Below are 22,973 nucleotides of genomic sequence, written 5' to 3'. Positions count from 1 at the left end.
AAATCTGGGCTTAATTCTATTTCTGCAATTCACTTCATAACTGGGAAAACCACTTATCCTTATCTATAAAATAAAGATGGGTTTGTATTCCTACTCCAAAATTTATTGTGAAAATGACATCTTTTTAAATAATATGTTGAAGAGCCTTATAAATTGACAAAGAAAATGGGAATTCACGTATTTAATCAACAAATATTAATGAAACATCAGATATTCTGTGGGAGGCACAAAACACAGCAGACCTAGCTGCTTTGAACTAGGTAAGAGCTGCGCCACCTAAAACAGCTCTTCCAATAGAGCTTTCCATGGCAGGCCACCTAAGTCAGGGAAGGTCACTCAAAGTGAAACCACAGGAACAGAAAGACTAGTCCAAAGACTGTTGCAAAGATCAGACAGCAGCTTCAGGGAGCTCAAACAATAGCAAGGGAAACAGATTGAAGCATTATTATGGAGGCAATAGGTATAAAGCTTAGTAACTATCATTTGTGGTGAAGTAGAGAAGGGGAAATAACTGAACTGATCCCAGCTTGCACGATTCTTCAATGGGACTATTTCAGTCAAAATAGAGAATAAAAAAATTAGGTTTGGAGAAGTGTAGGGTGTGAATAGATGTGTGTTTTTGAGCAGCGAGCAGCCTAAGCTATTCAACTGTTAGCCCTAACAGTGAATTACATCTGAGGCTCAGAGAAGAATTCTGGGTGGAGATGTGAGAGTCAACAGTTTACAAGTGATAATTGAAACCGCAGGATGAGTGCATAAAGTTAAAAAAAAAAGGTGAGAAGAGATAAGGTGAAATAAGAAAAGGGTCAAAAACAAAACCTTTAGAAAGAACACTTAAAAAGTTAGGCAGAGACTTATAAGAGTCAGCAAAACAAAGGAAGGCGACCTGAGGTCAAAGGAGAACAGTGTAGTCTCACAGACGTCAGGAAAGAAAAACAGTGTTCAGGAAGAGAATGCTCAATCGTGTCAAAAGCTAGAGAGTGTTATATCATAGCCATCAAGAGTTTCATAGTGAAATGAAACAGCCTTTGAATTCCAGCTTTGCCCGGTATGGAGAACAACTTATGCAACCTCTCCAAGCTTCAGTTCCATCTTCTTTTAATTGAGGAAAGGATGCCGTCTCTCTTCCAAGGGCTGAAATGCTTAGTCTTGTCCTGATTATATAAAAAGCACCCAGCAAATATTACCTGCTATTACTAGTTTTAACTATTTTTAATAAAAAGAGGGATGAAAAGTAACTACTGCATTTTTGTAAGTGGGACATGACCTGTCCACCTTTAAAGAGTACATTCAGAGTGGTAAAAGTAGGAAGCTGACTGCATTGGGTTGAAAAGCATTTGACTGAACCAGATAAGATTGCCATTCTATACATCAAAATCAGTCCATTATCAGCAATGTCATATGATTCAACCTAGTCCACAGTTGAATAGTTGGGGAGATATTAACTGTTCGTTATTTTTTAATATAGTCTTGATATAAGGTGACAACTAGTGAGAGATTTGGGGGCTGGGAGAGTTGGTTTTTATTTTGTTTTAAAGAGAAACACGTACGCATATTCATAAAAGAATGAGCAGGTGCAAAGGAGGAGAATAAAATTAGATAAGAGGAAATTTTTTTAAGTCATTCAAGAAAGCATAGAGTAGCCACCATAAGCACAAGCTCTCTGTCTAGCTATTGACATTGAAAAATTTACTTAACCCCTCTATTACTCATTTTTCTCATCAATAAAAATAATAGCAACCATCTCATAAGATTATTGTGAGGTCTCAGAATAATACCCAGCATGTATGATGAGCTCTCTACTTAATAATACATTATCATTATTACTACTGCCATTGTCAATGTTACCAAGGCCCCATAATCCAACAAGTCGACAGAGGAGACTTTCCAAGTGGGTGAAAACATCAGTTACCTCCATGTTCTATTCAGGGACCACATCCCTGAATAGAACCAAGTATAAAATCCTGCCCTAGACACATGTATACATATGTAACTAACCTGCACATTGTGCACATGTACCCTAAAACTTAAATTAAAAAAAAAAAAAAAAATCCTGCCCTAGAGAGTCTCTTAAATTTCACCACCAGAGGGCCCCATCTTTGAACTCTAAAGGCTTTCCTTCAGCTGACAGAAGGCCTCAATTAGTTTGAAAGTTAAGAGAAGGGGTATGCTAGTTCCATAAAGATGCCATGACAAATAACACAAACAATGGCTGCAAACAGCAGAAATGTACCCTCTCTGAGTTCTGGAAGCCAGAAGTTCTAAATCAAGGTGCAGGCAGAGCCCTATTTCTGCCAGAGCCTTTGAGGGAAAATCCTTCTTTGCCTCTTCCAGCTTCTGGTAGCTCCAGATGTTCCTTCACTTGTGCTCACGTAACCTCAATATCTGTCTCTATTTTCACATGGTCTCTCTGTATCTATGTCTCCTCTTCTTTTCCTTATGAGGACACTTGTTACTGGATTTAGAGCCCACTCAGAGCTCATCTCAAGACCCTTAAAGTAGTTACATCTGCAACGATACGTTTTGCAAATCTTTCATGTTCACAGGTTCTGGAATTATGGACACTACTTTTCATGGGTCATCATTCAAACTACAGAGGATATTTCCTACATCTTTTTCACCTTCTCCACACGAGGGGCACAGGTTTTACTTATCCCTAGAGGTCATGAACTAACCAAATTTATCTCTGATTCTCAGCATTTTCACAATATTAAACCCATTTAGTTTAGTATTAAACTAAACTAGGCATAATTTAAATGGTAAATAAGGACATTTAAATGTACAATAAATTGTTCTACTTTGTCTAGAATAAGCCTTGCTATGTGTAGCATTTCATAGTAATTGAATCTTTTACTTTTATTCAATTATACTACAGACACCACCACAGTTTTGGGGGAACAGAGGAAAAGTGATATGAAAATTTTTACAATTTGGAGACGTCTTCTTCGAAAAAATAAAATTTGGTAGTATTTAATATGCATGTATTGCCTAAAATATATTTTGTTTTGTTTACTCTACATAATACTATGTTCAATGAAAATATGAAACTGCAAATGCTTTAATATGTGTTTTAACATTGACATTGCAAAAGATTTGTATTATATTACTATTATGACACACAATAATCACAAGGATTATGTGACATTATGGCTTTCCAAAAATAGGTTTCTATTACTTTCATAGACCAATCAAAGCAAGAACAGACCTAGCAATATATTTGTTGTAATGCTTCCTCAAAAATAGGAAACTTGAGCTATGTCCCAAATATTCCCATAGTTAAGCCAACTTGAAGCGGTTACCCTCCCAGAAACATCAGTGTCTGCAGGGTGAGTAGCACATTAGACTTAAAGATATGAGATCTATTACGTATCTATTATAACATTGCATCTGCGCAGCTGCATATTATAAGTTTTTTGTTTGTTTTTCCTTTCTTTCCTGAGACAGAGTCACATTTTGTCACCCAGGCTGGAGTGCAGTGGCACGATCCCAGCTCACTGCAACCTCCGATTCCTAGGTTCAAGTGATTCTCCTGCCTCAGCCTCCTGAGTAGCTGGAACTACAGGCGCCTGCCACCACACCCGGCTAATTTTTATATTTTTAGTAAAGACGGAGTTTCACCATGGTGGCCAGGCTGGTATCTAACTCCTGGCCTCAAGTGATCTGCCCGCCTTGGCTTCCCATAGTGCTGGGATTATAGGCATGAGCCACTGTGTTCAGCATATTATGAACTGGTCTTCATTTTCAAAGATGATATCTTTGAGTGGGCTGGAAGAAACTGTCTGTAATTTCACTTCTGGCTTTCACATGCTACGTCCTCCAACCTACTACCAGCAGAAATGTCCTTGAGTTGTTTTTCCTATCAAGAAATTGTGCTGACCCAGACTGCTTCTGTCTCCAGATTTGTCCTGTGACACATGACAAACATTTACAAGGTAGAGATCATGACCAGGGGTGCAATGTGTGGCTTTCGAGTGGAATGAAGCTAATTGCCCTACACAAAAATAGATCAATGATCTTGTTAGCACAGCACTCTAAGCAAATGTTTTTATGCAACAGGTTCAAATTCTGTGTGCAAACACAGAGAGGTGCACACAAAGAGAGGTGCACACTGTAAAATGCAAGACTGGTGACATCCAAATCAATCTAAAACAAATCCAGTCCACTTTTCATGTGCTAGAACCACTAATTCTTTTAATCAAGGTAAAGTATCTTAATTAGCACAAATAAGCATTTCTATGGTAACAGATGCATATCAAACTCAATATTTGTATTTGTGACATTTCTTTACTTGGATGAAAACAGTAGTCCAGAGAGTTTATGTATGCGTATGAATGTGTGTGTGTGTGTGTGTGTGTGTGTGTGTGTGTGTGTTTAATTGAATGTGAATATTCAGCAGGTTTATTATTATCCATATAAATAATACCATTAAACAAGAAAGTCGTGTGAGAAATAATATTCTCTTAAAGGTGGATTTTTGACCTTCTAGTTCAGTAGCAAACAAATAAATGAGAGATAACCACATGTTCACTAATTTTATAATGCCCACCTTAGAGATGCAGCATGTTCTTCGATAAAGTTCAAAAATAACATTCCAATTTTCAAAAAGGCTGGCAAACATATTGCCTACTAAATCTCAATGGTCCAGCGGCTTCTCTGGCTCAGTAATCCAAACAACATGTCATTCCTAGAGGGCCAGAAATATTGCTATTTGAACACAAAACAATCTGGAAAAAGATGGCTTTCTGCTATGATATATAATAAACCACTGGAACTTTTGTTGACAATCTAAGGTATAAAGGAACTTTCACAATCCAGAATTAAATCTTACAGCACCTACAGATTCTTGTGAACCTGGGTTCTTTTTTTTAAAATTTGAGTCATAGACAGTTGTATGGACATAGTTACACAATCTTGAAGACATCTATTGTATTTATTTGTATGTATTTTATTTTATTGTATTGTATTTATATCTCCATGAATAAGTCAGACTTGCTCTATCCAAACTGATTTTCACAGTGCATTATGAGTTTTCCTTCATATTTAGGATATTATACATTCTAGTTGCACAGAATTCTATGTTACTTAATACATTTGCAGGCTTTTGAAACTATCTTTTGTTTCACATCATTTCTGTTTTGACTTGAATTAATTCGTAACCTTGAGGCTGTATTTCTGCTAGCTCATTTGGAAAAAAAAAAAAGCTGTCATCTAAGGGAGGTGAATTAAAGTAGGTTAAAGAGAGAGAGAACTTTTGTTAACTGAAGGCCCCAAGACAAGAAGCATGATCTGTTCTGTTAAATAATCTCTTTTCATAATAATTTTACCCTATTATTTCAATACTGACCCATCAGCCTTGTATGGGGCAAAGGAGGGTATTATTTTGCATGACCAATTAAGGGACTATCTAAAAATACATTTAGCACTGTCAAACTTTTTTTCTTTGCTTTCACTGAAATGTTGCATGACCTGACCTGCTGTCAGGGTAGAAAGCAAAATGCTGGCTTTACAGTTGCACTAAGTTTAGGGATGCAGCATTGGCTGATATGTAATATGGTGCCACCCAGACAGGACCACGCTATTTCACAGCATTCTGAGTCAATTGAGCCTCATGACAGCCACACTGTCACCTGGCCCAACTGAGAAAATTTTCTTTCTTCTATCCTACCTTCATGACATCCTAAATCTAGAAATAACAGGTCGCTTCATTTGTACTATATTATGAAATCTGTAGTATATTACTGAGAGTTCAGGGTGTGTGTGTGTGTGTGTGTGTGTGTGTGTGTGTAGACATGGTCATACACGTGTACTAAATATCAAAACTATTCAATTACTCAGAATTTTCATTTGTAGTTTGATTGTTATAGTTAAAATGCAACCATATGTGAAGTTTCAAGAGATGGTAATACCAATTACCTCAGGTTTGATTGTTTCAATAAGGTATAGCAAACACTTTGTCACACCTTACAATTTGATAAGCACCTTCCTATGCACTATCTCACATCCTCACACCAATGCAGTGAGCCAAAAATCCTACTTTCTTTAATGGCACAAGCTCAGAAACAGATATGAGCTGAAGCCCAGGCACAGAGGACTAGTCTAGTCTACACCACAGTTAACTTCCACAGGGCAGAAAAGTGTGTGCAGAAATGAGAAGTGGATAGGATTTATCTTTGTTTCTTTTTTTTTCATTTTCTGCCCACGATTTCTTCACAGTGCACTACTCAGTGATCTCTTGCTGCTTTGTAGGGTTCTCTCAGAGAAAAAAACGTAGGCATGAGGAACACAAACAAATGAGATTTTTAACACCCATTCACAGAAAATAACTTTAATAAGAAATATTTGGTAATTTTGCCATCTACGTGGGAGCCCCATAGAAACAGTATGTTGTTGATATGTTTAGAATTCTCCATAGGAAATGAGCCAGCATGAAAGTACGCGACAGGATATATGTTCAAGCAACATCTGTTCATTCCAAAGATGGAATTTCAGCTAAGGTTTCACTTACTCATCCATTTACATCATGTTTTACTGCTCTCATTGGCTGAGAGCTCTTCCTTGTTAGACTGAATTCCACTTAATTTGTTACCTCCATTTGTACCTGAGAATAAGAGATAATGTGCTCAAATTTCACAAGTATCTGTCAATTATATTGTACTCTTACTTTTTCCATCCAGGTTCTAAGATCCTGCCAATAAATTTTACAAAATTGACAGTTCTCATTCTGGCAGAGCATCTTATTGAGGCTAATAAACAATTATATATCACAATAATACTAAAGAACAGAAGCTTAATTAGTACGCGTGCTATTGACTATGCCCCATTTATTAAGTTGAAACTTGACATGGAATCATATTTATACAGTCAGAAAATCACTTGCATACTTTCCTATGGAGGCACGAGATGAATTTCAATAGTATTTATAAAATCTTTTGTGGGCCTCTCTGGAAGAGCTGTTTTGAGGATTAATTGTTGACTCTAATGTGCTTATGATAACACATAAATGCTAACAAGTGACTCAAACAGGCAGCATAGCCATAAAAATAATGACGAGTTGACATCCTTTAGCTCCACAGTTTAAGGACAGGAGAGTGTGTAACTTCAAAATCAATGAAATAAGAGATATAGATACTTGAAAATTAGAAGCTTTGTTGTTAGTGAAGAGATAACTGGGAAAGTAGTAGCTTTACATATGGCTAGGCAAGTGGCAGTAAAATGTATAGAAACAAAATGTCAGAACAAGGAGAGACCTAGAGGATTCCTATATAAATAACATTACTTTATGGAGAGGCCAAGTGTCTTAGGCAGAACCCACAGCAACTAAAAAACAGTCAATTCTTTTGACTTTTAGTTTAGTTCTCCTTCCAATAAAACACTGTATCACATCTGCCCCTAGACAAAGTATAAAAGGCACATTTTTCTTTGCTATTCTTTCTTGCTTAATTTCACCCTCAGCCCAAAACTCCCAGGCACCACATGTGCTCAAATGCTGACTTAGGGGCCTTTTGTTCATTTCCTCTTTCATCTCAGCTCTTCTCATTCTCAGATCCTCTTGTTCCCAGATCTCACTTTATACTGTACATGCATGTTTCCACCCCATCAAACTTTTTTCTGCCACCTTTAGTTGCCTTTTAGGTATTAACTAATTCATTATTCATCATTAATGGAAAAATCTGCATACTGAAGACATTTTTACTGGATGTTTGCATTTTAATCGATTTACTAACTCCAATAAATTGATTTCTTTGATGACAATGTAGTCCTTGAGATAGGTCAATAACATAGATGTCTTTGGCAAAAGAGTCACTTGGTGAGTCACCAAAAACGAATCTTGCAGCTGAAGGCTACTTGACTACTTCCTATATCCCTCCTAAAGGTGAACAAGATGAGATGAATAAAAAGGTCAGTTTTTCAGAAGGATGAACTGGAAATAGAGTGCCCCTATCAAATACAACACTTCATTCATGTAGAACATTTCAGAAGCATTGCAAACAGAACAAAATTAGACAATTTTGCTCTGCTTGGAATTTTCTATTTTGTTTAAATTTTCAAACTTATTGTCATAAATGTTTTACAGTGTTTTCTTACTATCTTCTTACTCTTTGTATATCTGTGGTTATGTGTCCCCATTTTCATTTCTAATATTTTCCTTTCAAGTTTTCCATTTTTTTAGTTTTAATAAAGTTTTATCAATGCTTATATTAATATTGGTTCAAATACCAAACTTTAACATAATAAGCTTTTTGAATTTTATTAATTTATTTTCTACCTTAATATTTAATGTCTTTTTATTTCCTTTGGATGTATTCCTTTATTTAGCCTTTGCCTCTGAAGGTAGATATTTATCTGCTTTATCTGACCTATTTAGTTTTCTAATATCAGTATCCTTAGCTTTTTTTCCCTCTAGGTTCTTCTTTAGCTTCATGCCACAATTTTGATATAATTTTTTATTATAAAGATATAAGCATTTTTTTATTTCCTGTTATTGCTTTTCCTTTGACCCTTAAGTTAAATATAATATTAAAATAGCAACTAAGCATGGCCAGTAGGGAAATTATATTACAGTAAATAGCATAACTCAATATATTACCCATTCTTTTCATCAGCATCATTGATGTTTTAAAATTGTTTGTTTATCCATCCCTTCATTCATTCATATTTCCCCTACGGAACTATTTTATAATGAGGTCAAGATGTCATTGGTTACCATTTGGAAGAACAACATAAACTGAAAGAAGTTGAAAAACTTTGAATCTTAAACAAACTGTTTAGGCCAAAGAAGAAATAAGGACAAATATGTAATGGCAGAGTCTCATGTTGGCACCATTTTGCATCAGACTTCTTGGATTACTGATATTTACTTCATCTCTTTGACATTGCAACAGTCTGGTAGTGTTCATGAGAAATTTAAAAGACCTTTTCTAGGTCAGTAGATTTATAGAACCAATGTGGAAACTCCTGTTAAATGCCAGACTTTTGGAAACTTAATCAATCTTTGCTGCAAATAGGTCCAAGTCCCTGAGTGCTAGCTCTAGGAATGTAGAAAAATATCCAAATCGTGCTTTAACTATAAAATTTTTTTGCTTGAAGGAAATTGAAACTTGAAACTACCCTTTGATATTGCCTGCCATGGAATTTAAATGTAAAATTAAAGCATGAGCAAATTGAGAGACACACAGAAAGAGAGAGAGAAAGAAATAGAGAGAGAGAGAGAGAGATCAACTTCCATTTGCTCTATTTTGTCCTTAGATTGAATCTCACTTATGCATTCACTGCTTCATTCAACAAGCAAAGAGTAAGTGCCCATTATCACAAGGTACTGTCTCAGGTATAGCAATGAGACAAGCAGGGAACCTGATCTCACAGAGCTTACCTTCTAGTGAGGGGGTGAGAAACAGTAAACAAATATAAAATGTAGTTGTAATTGTTATTTAAAAAAAAAATGTAGGGCAAGATAATTCAGTGTCTGGGAGCCTACTCTGGAATGGTGATCACAAAACCTCTCAAAGGTGAAAACATTTAAACTGAAGTGTGACTATTAAAAAGAATCAAACTAAGTAAACACTCTATGAAAAAATCATTTCAGAGGGGGAAACAGCATGGGCAAATTCCACAAGGGAGGAATGAGACTGATGTGTTAAGGACATTAAGAAGGCAAGCATACTTGGAATATAGTAAAAAGGAAGAATCATACAAGATAAAGTCTGAGAGAGAGTGTAGGCCAGGATCCCTTAGGGCCTCGTGGGCCATGGTGAAGAGTCTGAACTAAATCCAAGATGATGGGAAGCTGCAGAAAGATTTCAAGCAGGGGACTGCCATTTAATCACATCCTCCTCATTATTCCTGCAGGCCCAAGGGCTTTGAAGATGTTTGGTCTGTAAATTGCCAAAACACTATCAACCTATCTTTAGTTTGGTACTACATAAAGTTTGGCTCCCAAGGTATAATTTGTAAACTAAATGATATTATTCTTATACTGTGACCTGGGGAAAAGAAAATATTCAGTGTATCAATTTCAAGTGCCTGGATATAAGAAGAAAATCTAATGTACTCTAGCTAGAAAGATTACAGTGCATCTTGTAAATATTTCTCCAGTGTATAATTCCCTACTTGGATGAGTTTTTACCTTGAATCAAACTTTAGTCTATTCTAGCCAAAGGAAAATAGAATACAAATTATGAATTCTTTCAAAAATAAAGGAAAAATGATATTCTACAATAAATGCAGAAGCCTGTGCTCTATTATCGTTCTTGCATCCAGAGATCATTGTAGAATGACAGCTTTGCTAACAGGGCATTTCTGGGTAAGGCCATGGTCTGCTGAAATAGAGCTATTAGGAAAACAAATGATTCTCTTTAGCATCTTTGCACTAGCATATGTTTTATGCAGCTATATCATGCTGTAGCCTCCCATTGATATACAGTGATTCTTCTGAAGTGTTTTAAAGACAAAGCAGTGGCAGAAGTTATCATTCACTTGCAATATTAAAAACCAACTAGAGTCATAAAATATCATAGAAAATATCACCCACCCTGAATTCTCATTTACCAAGGGTCAATAACTGATATTTTGATGCATTTCCCCTTATTCATTAGATTCCTTTACCTGATTAAATGTATTCTGTCACTGTATTAAAATGCTTACCTTTCCACATGTCTATGAATTCTAATGTTTTAGATTATTCTTACTTAAAAAAGCAAATTAAGGCACCTGCATGCTCTTTAATAAAGGCAAAAATCATCTCTTAAACTCTATTAAGATTTACTCTAAAATGATTACATGAACATGCTATTTTTAAATAACAGAAAGAATTTAAATACTTTCACAATTGGGGAACTTTGGAGAAAGCAAGAGAGGGATGTTAGTTATGATAAAGGTCAGGGTTTATGAAATGGAACAGAAAGGAAAACCTAAATTAAAGCACACTAATTAGCTGTGAACAGCATACATTCTCTCTATTCACACCTCTAACCAAGGCAATGTTCCAGGCAGGCATAGGGATGGGGCAAGATGCTTATAGTGTTTAAGCCAAGTATGGTTTGCCTACACCTGAGAAGCTTCTCATGGGATATTAGCAACATTACTTGGGCGTGGCAGCTGTTTATATTTGAAAACACCTATAAAAAGAAGAACAGACAAAAGACAGACTTTCTGATTCAGAACTTTTCAAGATGGAGTCCAGGCATCTATCTTTAAGAACACACTAAAGCCATCTTTTTCTAGTCATATCTGAACTTATCCCTCCTTTTTCGAAACATGCTTGTCAAGCAGATTTTTGTTCTTTCTTCTACTCCAGATATTTTATTGTCATAAATGCTTTGCACTATGCCTAGAACACTCAGTTTTGGATTTCTTAAAATCCAAAATCTTTTTGGATTTTCTAAAAATGTTCTCCAAACAAATCTTTCTTTCAATCACAATATTTCAATGATAATTCCCTTAGAACAGGAAGGAAATTTAGAAATAAGAAATATAATTGGAAATAAAAGCATATAGATTCTCATCTGTGAAATCTATTTTGTTGTTTTGTCTTACTTGCTGTTATTTTGTTTAATCTTACTTAGAGTTTGCATCCAGAAGACTAAAACGTTATTTCCTAATCTAATGTTACCTCTTAGGTTGGTGCCAAAGTAATTATGGTTTTTACTATTACTTTCAATGACAAAAACCACAATTACTTTGGCACCAACCTAATAAACGTCAACATTTTGCTTTCTAAGGGATCCCAAAACAATGCTGGACACTATGTTCAGGCTCCAAGTTGCAGTGATCTTTTATAGATGATCTTGAAACGGCACTCCAGTTAACCCGCTGATGAGCAGGGTGGTACCAAGCTCCCTTGGCCCTCAACCTTCTGCGTGCTAAGGACTCAGACAGCTTCTAGTTGGGTTCACTCAAACACAGCAGCAGGATCAACTCTACCAAACCATTTCCACTCGTCAGCCAAAAATACATACAATCTTGCACACTTAATTTTAGAATGTAATTCATGGGGCTCTTTCCCAAATCCCTCAGCACAGCATCTGTTCAGAGTTGGCCCATATGACATAGTCTGACAGTTTTTGTTCCTTTCCCAAGAGAATCTCTTAAGGATATCAACTTCTCAGTCGTCTTTGAACAGTAAGTGCTGTCTCTGATGTCAAGCTTTGGAATTGCTGCATCTAAATATTGTTACCCAACTCTTGATTATGGCTTATATTTTGTAAGACATTCATTCACAAATGTTTATTGAGGGCCTACCATTTGCCTGACACCATGCTTATAACTAGGAAAAAAAAAATGTAAAACAAGCATGATCTCTGTCCCAAGAAACTCCAGATGGGAGGGTTGGGGGGAACCAGAGTCAAAAAAGTTTAGGGTGGGAAAGGGAAGGGAGGTCTACTTCTTATCATGGCTTCACACCAGATGTTCTTCCTGTTCATATAGTTCTACCACTCTTCTAAAGGGATACAACAATCCAGGCACAGAAAGGAGATTATAGCCTGTAAGCCCTAATTTCCACATCAGCGTGCTTTCTGCTACATAACTGAAACTAAAATTCATTTGACTAGCATTTAAATAAAAGTTTTCCTACTTTTGTTCTTATTGCAGTTATCTTTCAAGGCCCAGAGACATAACATGTGCAAATTTTAAAAAACGACTGTAGGATAGGATAGGAGACTGTAGGATAGGAGACACTTTTTGTTTATGAGTCAGAAAGCTTAGTTACACAGAAGAAAACTACAGAGCACCTGTCCTCTGAGGAGAGTCCCATATTTCACAGATAGTGTTCAATTATTCCTTACAATATTCCTATGATGCATCATGATGAGATTACTAGTATTATGCACAGCACTTTTCCTCCTTGGACCTTGAAGGTGCCTTTTACAGAATCAGACATAAAAGAAGGTAATTCTCATAGTGCTCCAGGGAGATGGAAAAATATATTAAAAACCATGGAAAGACCAAATCACTATTGGTGGCTAGGGAAATAAGAGTCACTGAGAGTTAAGGGACTACACAACAGCTCTGGAAAAAAAAATTTGTCCCTACTTTTTAAAGCAACAGACCCTCTTACAACATGTTTATGTATGGCTGTGTTCAGGGAGCATAACTGGAACTGGAAGAGCAGAAGCAGTAAAGAGAAAAGAAAAACCTATATTGATTCAAAGTCTTCAGGAGTCAGGACAAGTGGAGAAGGTGGGACAATGCTCTGTTGCTCTCACTTTTGTTCATTTATAAGTTCATGCATTTCACACATGTGTTTTGTGTACTGTGCTAGAAAAAGAGGATGACAGAAATGAGTGCAACAGTTTCAGGTCTTCCTGTCTGCAAGTCCATATCCTTCATAGCAAGGGAAACAAAGAGAAAGTATATGAAATCTACAAAGGCAGTGATGTTCACATCTATGTCCACCATGCCAGGCACATTGTGGGCCACTCAGTATTTATTGAATACATGGATGACTTCACAAACGGGTTTCAAAGCATAGAGAGGTGAAGCTAGGTTACTGTATGCCCTTGAACTTTTCTATTTCTACCATGAGTTCAAACAGGTTTCTGTCTATGGTGGTTTCCTGTAACCTGATTGAAACATACACACATACACACATACATGTGCACACACACACACACACGCACCATTTTATGAGTGGGGGAAACTGATGTTAACAGACTTCCCTAGATTCACGCAAGAAGCAGAGGGGACTTCACAACATGTCATTGTCACTCCCAGTTTAGAGATTTCTATATTAAATAAGATGACTGCAAATTAAATGTTCTACTGTCCTAATTAAGCATACACTGCCCCTCTCCAAATCTTCAACAGCGTGATGTTCCTTAGTTATCAGAGACCACATGATACCACAGCCTGCGGCTGTTGATCAGCGTAGCCCCACTCTTCCCTGAGGACCTTTGGGTCTCCTATTCCTGCAGTGACAGAATGGACCATCACATCCATCTTCTACTGAACCAACCTAATTAGTGTCTGATGAATCTCAGTGATAGCTTATGCATTTAGACACCAAGAATTTTCATTGATCTCCAATTCTTCAATCTCTTTAATATGTATTGGCAAGAAGCTATTTTCCTCTCATTCTGTTTTCTTTCAGATATTTTAATAATATATACATTCTTGCAGTTACCATTGGGATTTACATAGTAAATGTAAGGTGTTTTTTTGTTTACTTATGTGAAGATGAATATTAACTTTTTTATTTCTGAAGAAACATCATGTGACCATTCTATCTGAATTCCAGGAAAAATACTATCAGTAGATATTACCATTCCTAAATATAAGGGAAAATATCCCTAGTCTCAAGAACAGAAACAAGTGTCCAAGGATTTGTCAAAAAAACTTGTTCAAAAAGGACTTCATGGCTTAAGAACGTCTCCAGAATTTATGGTTTGCATTACTGGGCCCATTCATTCTTTTAATTTTTAAGTGAAAATAAAAAGCAGAGGGAAAACAAATAGCAAACAGCCATGAAACCAGTCAAAACTGATGTATTACCAGGATCAACTTAAAGGCTAAGGCAGCAAATATACATGTTGGACTTCATTTTGTGAAAATTATAATGATAAATTTTGTGGAGAGAACTTGGGGAGGCATTTTTATAATGATCTGTATACACAGGATAAATAATATGACTCAAGCTACAAGAATAAATGTTTATTATTTCTTTTAAAAAAATCTATTTGGGGAAAGACATAAGCTGCTATTTAACCTTGTAGTAATAACTCAAAATAAGAAAAAAATGCATATATATCAGAAATAAGAAATTAGAAATGGACAATGACATCCTTCAATTCCATATGTCAATAAAGAAGATACAGAATGCTGGGTATGATGGGATAATTGAAATATAAAGTGACTATGGCAGGGGAATTTTAAAATAAACTGTCCAACCAAAATCCCAGCATATTTGACAAAAGAAGAAGCACCCACTTGTAGCTTAGTTATCTCTACTTCACAAGAGTGTATATATGAAGCATATATGTGCTCTGTGTTAGTCTGTTTTCATGCTGCTGATAAATAAATACCTGAGACTGGGAAGAAAAAGAGGTTTAGTTGGACTTACAGTTCCACATGACTGAGGAGGCCTCAGAATCATGGCAGGAGGCAAAAGGCATTTCTTACATGACAGTGGCAAGAGCAAATGAGAAAGAAGCAAAAGTGGAAACCCCTGATAAAACCAACAGATTTTTTGAGACTTGTTAACTATCTCGAGAGTAACATGTGAAAGACTGGTCCCCATGATTCAATTACCTCCCCCTGGGTCAACATGTGGGCATTCTGGGAGATACAAGTCAAGTTGAGATTTGGGTGGGGACACAGCCAAACCATAACATGCTCAAAAGTATTTTTTAACCACAGAGATGATATTTTTCAGCAGGGGGTAAAATTAAAAAGGGACCATTTTTAGGCATCAATTCTGAAGAGAGTGCTGATATGAAAAAAAAATACACACATAAGACATACCTGGTTAATGACAAATTGATGTTTTCAAATATTATTTTTGAAAAAAGCTTTTTGAAGAGCTAACAATAAAAATAAAAAGCTATAGCCAAATTGAAATAAATAAAAAGGTATATAGGTATATTCTATAGAAAAAAGGAAGTAGAAATTTAAGGCAGGAAAAGGGGCACAGAGAAGAAAAGAAGGGGTCAAGGGAGGAAGAGAATAAAACAGTGGAAACTAACAATAAATTCTCCTCCATAAGTAAAAGGCAAAGTAGTAGGACAAGGTAAAACAACTGTCTAGAAAACAAACTGGTAGAAATATTTCAGCCAAATTTAAAAGAAATGAAATTAATCTGATCAGTAAACCATTTTCACAGTTTGGGCAAAAGAAGTTTTCAGGTGAAGGGTGAATATAAAAGCCACCCTAAAGAGATCAGGACCTGAGCCTGCAGAAGTTCAACTCTTTGCCAGGGAGATTCTATAACAAAGAATGAATGTGGTAACAAAAGCTATACAGGACTGCCCATCATTTTCTGAAATCCAACTAAATCCTCTCTCCCAACTTAGAAAAGAAAATTAGGACTCAAAAGTCACATATTTCATATTATCAGGTATATTGAGGTGTCACTGGCATACATACAATAAAATCCACATATATTTACGCCCATAGAACCATCATAGCAATAAGATCCATCATCACCCCACAAATGTCTTCTTGGACCATTGTGAGTCCTCCCTCCCTGCACACTGCCTTGCATCCCTTTACCCGTATTTGCTAACCATTGATTAGTCTGTATATTCTACTAGAATTTTATAGATGAAATTATACAATCTGCACTCTTTTTGATCTCGCTTTATTTTCTTGAATTGATATAATGTGTTTATCCACCAATCTGTCGATGGACACTTGGTTTATTTCCAGTGGTTATTTCAAATAAACCTGCTGTAAGTATGCATGGACAGTCTTTGTGTGTACCTAGCACGTTCATTTCTCTAAGCTAAAGGCCATAGAGTAAAATGCCCAAATCACATAACCAGTGTCTCCTGATATTGGTAGTTTGTGTCTTTTATCTTTTTTTTCTGATCACCCTAGCTAGAGGTTTATTAATTTTATTGACTTTCTCACAGAACTGGCTTTGGTTTCACCATTTTTTCTCTATTTTCTACTTTTGTTGTTGTTGTTTATTGTTTCCTTTCTTTTGCTTACTTTGGGTGTCATTTGCTCTTCCATATTTAATATTGTAGGGTAGAATCTGAATTGACTGGCATATCTTTGTCCTAGTATAAGTGTTTAGTACTGGACATTTTTCTCTAAATAATGTTTTAGTTGCAATTGAAGCTTCAGAAGCATGTGGTCATACATTTTTCTTTAGTTGCATTCAATGAGTTTTAAAATATTAAATATCCATTTTCCTTTATTTCACAATACTTTTTAATTTATCTTGGAGTTCTTAATTGACTCATAAGTTATGGATAAGTATCCTATTTAGTTCTCAAATGTATGGATATAATCCAAATATTTTTCTATATTTGATCTTGAAGTTAATAACATTGTGATAAGACAATATATCTTATAGGAACTGAATTTTTAAAAATTACTTGAGACTGTGTTCAAGAATGTGGCCTACATTGGTAAATTATCAGTGCACATTTGAAAAAAAAAATGTGTTTTATTGTGGTTGGTGGAGTAGTATATAAATATTGATTTGGTAAGTTGGTAAATAGTATTGTTCAAGCCCTTTATATAATTGCTGAAGTCTTTTTTCCTGGAACTTTTTGAAAGAGAGCAGCTTAATCTACTCTTATTGTTGATATGTCTATTTGTCCTGAAAATTGTCAGTTTTTGCTTCACAATTTTTGACATTCTTACTAAATACATACATTTTATGATTTTTATCGTATTTTGAGGAACTGACCTGCTTATCAATAACTAATGATTCCCTTTTTCCTTTGAGATATCCTTCACCCCGAAATCTACTTTATCTACTACTAAAATAGCCACTCCAACTTTCTTCTCTTTAGTGTATATTTTGTGTGTAGTCTCTCATTTTTCATCGTTTTACTTTTAAACTTTTCTGTCTTTATATTTAAAGCGGGTTTCTTCAAAACAGTATATAGTTGGGTCTTACTTTTTAATGTAATCTGACCAATTCTGCAACTCAGTTGGGATATTTAGATCATTTACATTTGGTGTAATTATTGATCCATTTGAACTTATATGTACTATCTCTAATATCTTATTTGTTTTTAATTTGTTCCATAGTTCCTTTTTCCCTTTTACTTTTTGTCCTTCTTTGGTTCAATCATATATTTCTTTATAATTTTATCTTTTTTGTTCATTTAGCATAATTCTTTGTTGTATTATTTTAGTCATTACCTTTGGGCTTATAGTATACATCTTAATTGATCCCAGCTAACCTCCAAATTATATTATACTATTTTATTTATAGTATAAGAAATTTATAGTAGTATAGTTCCTTTTCTCATCTTTTGGCTTGTGTACTATTGTGGTTATACATTTTTCTTTTATATATGGCATAAACCACAAAATGTATTGTTATGATTTTTACTTTAAACAGACCATTGTCTTTTATTGAGTTTAAATAATTTTAAGTTTTAATATTTATCAGTATAGTTATAGATAATATAGACCTAGATCTATAAAAAAATCTTTATTCTTTTCTATAGATCTAGATTTGCATGCTGTATCATTTTATTTTTGTTGGAAGAAATTTCTTTAAAAACTCATATAGTGTGATGTTAAAGAAAATATTTTCCAGTGACACTTGTGAAAGCATAGTAAGAAAGACTTTACTTGGGACCACTGTGATGGGTATAGAGACCACTGCAACAAGGTCTTGCAAGAAGAGAGAGACTGTGATCATCTCCAAATACAACATGGGAAAGCAGCAATTTACAGTCAAGGAGCAGGGTGAGGACCAATGGCTAGCAAATTACTGAGAGGAAACATCAGGCGTAAGGAGAATTCTGGCTAACAGGATTGACCTAACAGGATTCTTGCTAAAGACAGGCTAGGGTTATTTTATACATTCCTCGGGAGATGGTGGAGGATCAGAAACTTGATCAGATATTGACTGTGATCAGATATCAAAGGTGGGAGTTCTTGTCAAACTTAATTAGACAGGTTCTTTGCTAAAACTGTATTTTACAAGGAAGTTCACAGATGTGCCTAGGAGAAGATTCAGAAGTCTGTCTAAAGTTTGGCCAAGCAGACAATCTTTACCAGTGAAAACTTCTTTCAGATTTTGGATATCTGAAAAAAAAAGTTTTTATTTCACTTCGTGTTTCAAAGATATTTTCACAAAGATTTATTATAGAGTTTCAATAATAAATTCTAGATTAAAAGAGGAGTTTTTTTTTTCCTTTCATTACTTTAAGGATGTTGCTACACTCTCTTCTCACTTGTATTGTTCCCAATGAGAAATTTGCTTGTCATTCTTATTTTTGCTGCTTGGTATTTCACGTGCTCTCTCTGCCCTGCAGCTGCTCTAAAGATTTTCTCTCTTTCACTGTTTTAAGCAATTTCATTATAACGGATACTGATCTGTGGGTTTAGTTTTAATTATATATTGAAAATTTTCAGACATTGTTTATTTAGTTTTTTTTTTCTTTCCCTCCCACTTTGGAGAGTCCAATTACACATATATTGGCTTCTTCAGTTGTTTCTTTGTTCATTGATGCTTTGGTAGTTATTTTTAGTCTTCTTTTTTTTTTTTTTTTGCTATGTTTTCATTTTGAAAAGCATCTGCTGCTATTTCTTAAATTTCATTTATTTTTCTTCTGATGTTGATCCACTGTTAATGCTATCAATGTATTTTTTTGTCCTTGACATTACAGCTTTCATCTCTGAAAACTGCATTTAGATCTTCTTAAAATTCCACATTTGTAGTTAACATGTTCAATCTTTCCTCTAGCTTCCAGAACATATGGAATACATTCATAATCACTGTTTAAATGTTGTTGTCTACTAATTTTATCATGGGTCATTTCTGGGCCCATTGTGATTGATGGATTTTTCTCTTCATTATGAATAGTGTTTTTCTGCATCTTTGCATGTCCAACAATTTGTGCTTGTTTACCAGACTTCGTGAATTTTATCTTGTTGGGGAGGTTCTGCATATTTTTGTATTACTAAAAATCTTGTGCTTTCTTTTGAGACATGATTAAGTTACTTAAAAACATGTTGACCCTTTCAGGTCTCGCTCTTAAGTTTTGCTAGATGGGGTCTAAGCGGAATTTGGTCTGGGGTTAAATTACCCTTTACAAAGGCATGACACTCCTGAGTACCTTACCCAATGTCCCATGAATTATGAGGTTTCAGGTCTGGCTGCTGAGAACGGATCTAACCTGGGTGCCCCTCCCTATGGCACAGCCTAGAAACTCCCCAGGCAGTGAGCTGGGGCAGTACAGAAATTGCCTTTCTTGCCTCTCTCACCTGTTCTCTCAGGGATAATGGTGCCTTTTTGCCTGATGTCCAGTTTCTTGAAAGCCTTCATTTCACACATTTTGTCCTGCTTGTTAGTTGTTTCAGATAATAGAGTAAATCTGTTTTTTTCTTATTCCACCTTGACCATAATGGAAGAGTCACACAAATTTGGTTTTATCTCATTGATTTTATTCAAAAAAAAATATATGTAATCCTTGGTATTTTTGCTGTTATTTATAACATGTCATTCATAATAAACTGTGCCCCATGACTGGTGTGTGTCACTGTGTACCTAGGAGACATAAAGCATGTATTGAATTAAACACATCCTCCTAGAAGAAAACACCTAGGGAGGCAAAGGTTGTCTCAACGTAAGTACATTTCCGCATGGGCATTAGCACTCTAAGACTGAAAACACAGTTCTGGAAGACTAGGATTGAATTTTTTTTTTTTGCAGGACTAGGTATCTTAAAAGGAAGAAGCAGGTACCTTATTACCTAGGGAGGGGTTCATGTACATTACCGTGGATACATCTGGCATTTGCCAACATATGTCACATTCTACAGACTTTGATTCCTGTGGTCAAGTTCACAAGGTATTATTGGTAAACTCATGGGGTTGAAGAGGACATAGACTAGAGACTGTGGAGAGAAGATGTTTAAATCAGCATTTCTAGAATTTATCCCACAAATCAAATATTCAGGTAAAGTGAAGAACCACTAACACCTAGGGGGTCCTGGAATACTCTCAGCTTATCTTCAGCAGTAGAACCTGTCTCAGAGAAAAAAAGTGTTCTGGATGTCCTTCTTACTGGTTTGAGGACCAGGGGTTACTTAGTACAGAGCATTCCAAAAAAGCAAGAGGGCAGTGATGAGGATGAGGCTCAGAAGTTGCACATGTGTCATCTGCAAGCCTGCCAATTTCAGGACAGCAGTCTCCAAATCAAGGCAGGAAACAGTGAACAGAGCCTTTCATATGCATGCATGACTCAATGAAGACTGCTCAGCTCCATTTACAAAAAAGAACTTAACAGAGGAGTTCTTGACGATCAGATGGACATAGGCCTAAAACCTGTAGAGTCCATACCCCTCAGATTGGTCTAAAATTATATTATCCCTGTTAATATAAGATACTTATGAGTTATTTTGTGAAGTTATTAAAATGAAATGAGACAAAATTGAGGGATTTGGTCTTGAAAAATGAGGACAGCGAAAAGTCTGCCACATAAACTAAAGACTTTTGAAGGAAACAAAACAATATTTCAGAAGGGCTTAGTTGCTGAAGAAAGGCCTTTGTGAGACTCACTTTGGTCTCAAGAGGGAAGTAAATTCATGTAGTCTGTTTCTCACATTGATAGCGGAGGGTGGATGCAAGACAATTTCCACTGTGCAAGCCCAAGTTGGGTCTGCTCCTCTTCTCATTTCCTTTGTTAGTAAAAAAATTTTAATCATTTCAGTCCTTCACTGAGCCCCATTCCTTTACTTCCTTGTGGCATAATCGGTCAGCCCTGAAATGAAAATGGGTTAGAGAATTCTTCTTGCCATCTATTATTTAATCTCCCCTTTCTGTCCTTAGGGAAGACCTACAACCACAAGACATCCCAGCTTTCTAGATGAAATGTATGTGGATGTGACAGAACTTCAGGCAGGCTGCTGAAAAAAGATTAACTCAGCTGCCAGGAGTACTTTTTGCCTCTCTACTGCTTTGTACCTGTTTCCTGGAATGGCTGATGAGATGACTGAACTTCAAGCAGCCCTCTTGGAATATGTGGCAACACTGTGGACATGCTGAGGATGGCAGAGCAGAAACTAAAATGAGTAGCTCTGAAAACTCCATAAGGTTCCCATACCAACCCTAGATTTCTTATTCTCAGATTTCATATAAGAAATAAGCCCTTCAGTGTTTATTTTTGTTTATTTGTTATTTTTTTCTTTTTGGACAACTGAAGCTATTCATGAATAATCCAAAGTCCAGTCTAAGAAAATGCCAAGGATCAACCAGGTGTGGTGGCTCATGCCTGTAATTCCAGCACTTTGGGAGGCCAAGGTGAGCAGATCATTTGAGGTCATGAGTTCGAAACCAGCCTGGCCAGCGTAGTGAAACCCCATCTCTACTAAAGACACAAAAATGTGCTGGGCATGGTGGTGCTTGCCTGTGATCTCAGCTACCTTGGGAGGCTGAGGAAGGAGAATTGCTTGAACCCAGAAGGTGCAGGTTGCAGTGAGCCAAGACCTCCAGCCTGGGCCAATAGAGTGAGACTCTGTCTCAAAAGGAAAAAAAAAAGGAAAGGAAAGGAAAGGAAAGGAAAGGAAAGGAAAGGAAAGGAAAGGAAAGGAAAGGAAAGGAAAGGAAAGGAAAGGAAAGGAAAGGAAAGGAAAGGAAAGGAAAGGAAAGGAAAGGAAAGGAAAAAGGAAAGGAAAGGAAAGGAAAGGAAAGGAAAGGAAGAAAATGTCAAGGATCAAATGCTGGAAAAGTGCACACAAGATACCAGAAACCAATCGGTGACATCAAAGCGGAGCCAGGGTGTCGCTAGGGCTCCAGAGTTTGGTGAAGAGATGCCAAAATTTAGACAGGTCGGGATCTGAACCTCTGTCCATGGAATAGTCTAGAATCAAAGTGCAAAGGAAAGGGTAAGGAAAAGGAAACAAAAAAAAAATATTTTTGTGACTGGACATTAAAGAGAAATGTTCATGAACATTAGTCATGGCCCTGTACTCCATTTACATACTTGCATTTCTGCATTTTTGGCACAATTTAGTGTGCTTTGAAAATCTTTACTTTCTAAATTTAATATCTGAAATTCTGCAATTTTTCCTTTTTTTTTTTCTTTTTTTTTTGAGACGGAGTCTCACTCTGTCACCCAGGCTGGAGTGCGCTGGTGCAATCTCTGCTCTGTTCACTGCAGCCTCCCGGGTTCAAGTGATTCTCCTGCCTCAGCCTCCCAAGTAGCTGGGACTACAGGCACATGTCACCACACCCGGCTAATTTTTTGTATTCTTTTTAGTAGAGACAGGGTTTCACCACATTGGCCAGGCTGGTCTCGAACTCCTGACCTCAATTGATCCATCCACCTCATCCTCCCAAAGTGC

General features: G+C 36.1%; 1 long non-coding RNA gene across 1 annotated transcript in view; it reads right to left on the bottom strand.

Annotated features, from left to right (window-relative positions):
• LINC01924 (long intergenic non-protein coding RNA 1924) overlaps positions 1-22,973 on the bottom strand; it is a 319,511-nt gene that overhangs the window by 11,797 nt on the left and 284,741 nt on the right. The window contains exon 6 of the long non-coding RNA NR_033881.1: positions 4,547-4,684. This is a non-coding gene — a long non-coding RNA (long intergenic non-protein coding RNA 1924). The remainder of the gene's footprint in view (positions 1-4,546; positions 4,685-22,973) is intronic.

Source organism: Homo sapiens, chromosome 18 (genome assembly GCF_000001405.40).
Source record: "Homo sapiens chromosome 18, GRCh38.p14 Primary Assembly".
NCBI lineage: Eukaryota > Metazoa > Chordata > Mammalia > Primates > Hominidae > Homo > Homo sapiens.
Note: the sequence above shows the minus strand (reverse complement) of the source record. Positions and strands in the feature narration are given on the sequence as shown.